Source organism: Homo sapiens, chromosome 5 (assembly GCF_000001405.40).
Source record: "Homo sapiens chromosome 5, GRCh38.p14 Primary Assembly".
NCBI lineage: Eukaryota > Metazoa > Chordata > Mammalia > Primates > Hominidae > Homo > Homo sapiens.
This window is the reverse complement of record NC_000005.10, coordinates 26,238,844-26,240,922: the sequence shown is the minus strand read 5'-3', so window position 1 is coordinate 26,240,922 and position 2,079 is coordinate 26,238,844. Positions and strand designations below refer to the sequence as shown.

General features: G+C 38.0%; 1 annotated feature.

Moving 5' to 3' along the window:
- Positions 263–814: an enhancer, noted in NCBI's record as "NANOG hESC enhancer chr5:26240218-26240769 (GRCh37/hg19 assembly coordinates)". NCBI's record gives its function as "activates a minimal SCP1, AML or CMV promoter by ChIP-STARR-seq in naive H9 embryonic stem cells {active_cell/tissue: H9 hESC(naive)}" and the evidence as "EXISTENCE:reporter gene assay evidence [ECO:0000049][PMID:30033119]".

Here is a 2,079-nt window from a genome sequence, read left to right as displayed (position 1 = left end):
TTGGCTGTGTCCCACCCAAACCTCATCTTATAACTCTCATAATTCCCACATGTTGTGGGAAGGACCCGATGGTACGTAATTGAATCATGGGGGCAGGTCTTTCTCATGCCATTCTCTTGATAGTGAATAAGTTTCATGAGATCTTATTATAAGGAGAGTTTCCCTGCACAAGCTCTCTCTCTTTGCCTGCTGCCCTTCATGTAAAATGTGACTTGCTCCTCCTTGCCTCCTACCATGATTGTGAGGCCTCCCCAGCCATGTGGAACTGTAAGTCCATTAAACATCTTTCTTTTATAAATTGCTCAGTCTCAGGTATATCTTTACCAGCAGCATGAAAAGAGACTAATACAGTGCCCTCACTAAAATAAATTATGTGGGTAACTTTGAATTACATGGATTACTTTGTGTTTGCTAATTGGTGTTTATGGAAATTAGGCTCCTGCCCTCCCACAGAGGCTAAGGGATGAGGGCTCTATCTCTCCTGATGATTTCATTTCAAAGGGATGGCTCCTTGAGAAAGAAAGACAGTCCTAAATTGTAAACCTAGCCAGAGACTAGGAGAAGATTTGCATCTCAAAGGGTCAAAGGAAGAATTCACACTGGAGAGTTTTCTACAGTAAATGTTCTAAGAAAAGGGAGGACAGGGTCCCATGATCAGGAAGAAACGGTCACAAGTTTGGCCAAGCTGAGGGGAACATTAAGGCTATCTGGCTCTGGGTTTGTGAAAAGCTAGCAGGGCACTTAACTTCTATTTGCTTGGGAAACCTAGGACCCTCAAGGTAAGGAATTAACTTATCAGGGAGAGCAAACAGACACTGAGCTTCATGTAAAAATAGTGCTGTTTATTTTTTAATTTTTTATTAATTTTTTAGTATACTGTAGTTTGTATTGCTCAGCAATCTTCTGTCCTGGCTTCAGTTTCACTGCTCAACCTCAGGGTCCTGTGATGAAGCTGGATAAGTCAGTAACAAGAAATAAATAAGTAGATCATTAAAATAACTGTGAGTTAATGCGCGCTTGAGACAATGTCCAAATTATTGTCATGTACTGGAGTGAAATCAAGCCCAGCAAGAGAAGTGTTTGCTCGAGTTTAATGAAGCTATTATGGGAACACAGAGTAAGATGCAGCAGAGTGAGGGGCACAGAGGCCTGGAGAGAGAGAAGCATCGATAACCACATGAAACAGGAAGCCACATGAACATAACAGAGGTCTCAGCAGCAAGCAAATCTGATTATTGAGGGAGTAGAGAAGATAAAATAAAGTGAACCTAGAATTTGCTGGGATATCAAGGGTTTGAAGCCATAGAGAGCTTGATATATATATGAAGTAATTGACTGTGATCTTTACACAATTTAGAAAGAAAAATAGCCTGTTCGAGATTTACACAATCCCTACATAGTGCCCGAATTACCAGACTATGTACAACACGCAGACTAGTTCAATTCAGAGAAATCTGTTATGTATATGCCCTGTTCATCACAGGGCAGAGATGTTCACAGTCATCCTCTGTTATACACATACTATTTGTATGTGCTTTCATAAAGAAACTGAATTATAAGAAAAAATATACAACTTGAAATAGCCAAATATACTAACTTGATTATGACGTAGCCTTTGGATATTTTAGAAGAAGTAACATTAAATTGCATGTATTTTAAGCCACAATGAAAATAACAGGATATGCGTAAGGCTAAGCTGCGTGATATTCCCGATGAATCTCTGCATTTGAGAGAAGTAATTACTGCTGCTCTTCTGAACTTTTGGTACCTGCTATTAACCCAGTAGGAAATTTTAAATTGTAACTTACCCTGAAGTCAAACACTCATAGAAATGACTGAGCTCCTCCTTCTCACAGGAATAATAAACATTCTTTTCTATCTTCCTTTGAACTAAGGGGGCTGAACATTGCATAAAAATAGTATGTATGTGGTTTTCATTTAAGTATTCTTTTGCTGTATTATTTCATTTAAAATAGTATAAAGAAAAAAGTAGTAAGTATAATACTTTCATTGTAATCATTGTTATTTTGTACTTGTACTAAGTGTAGGCTAACTATGATATAGATCAGTAAAACAGAT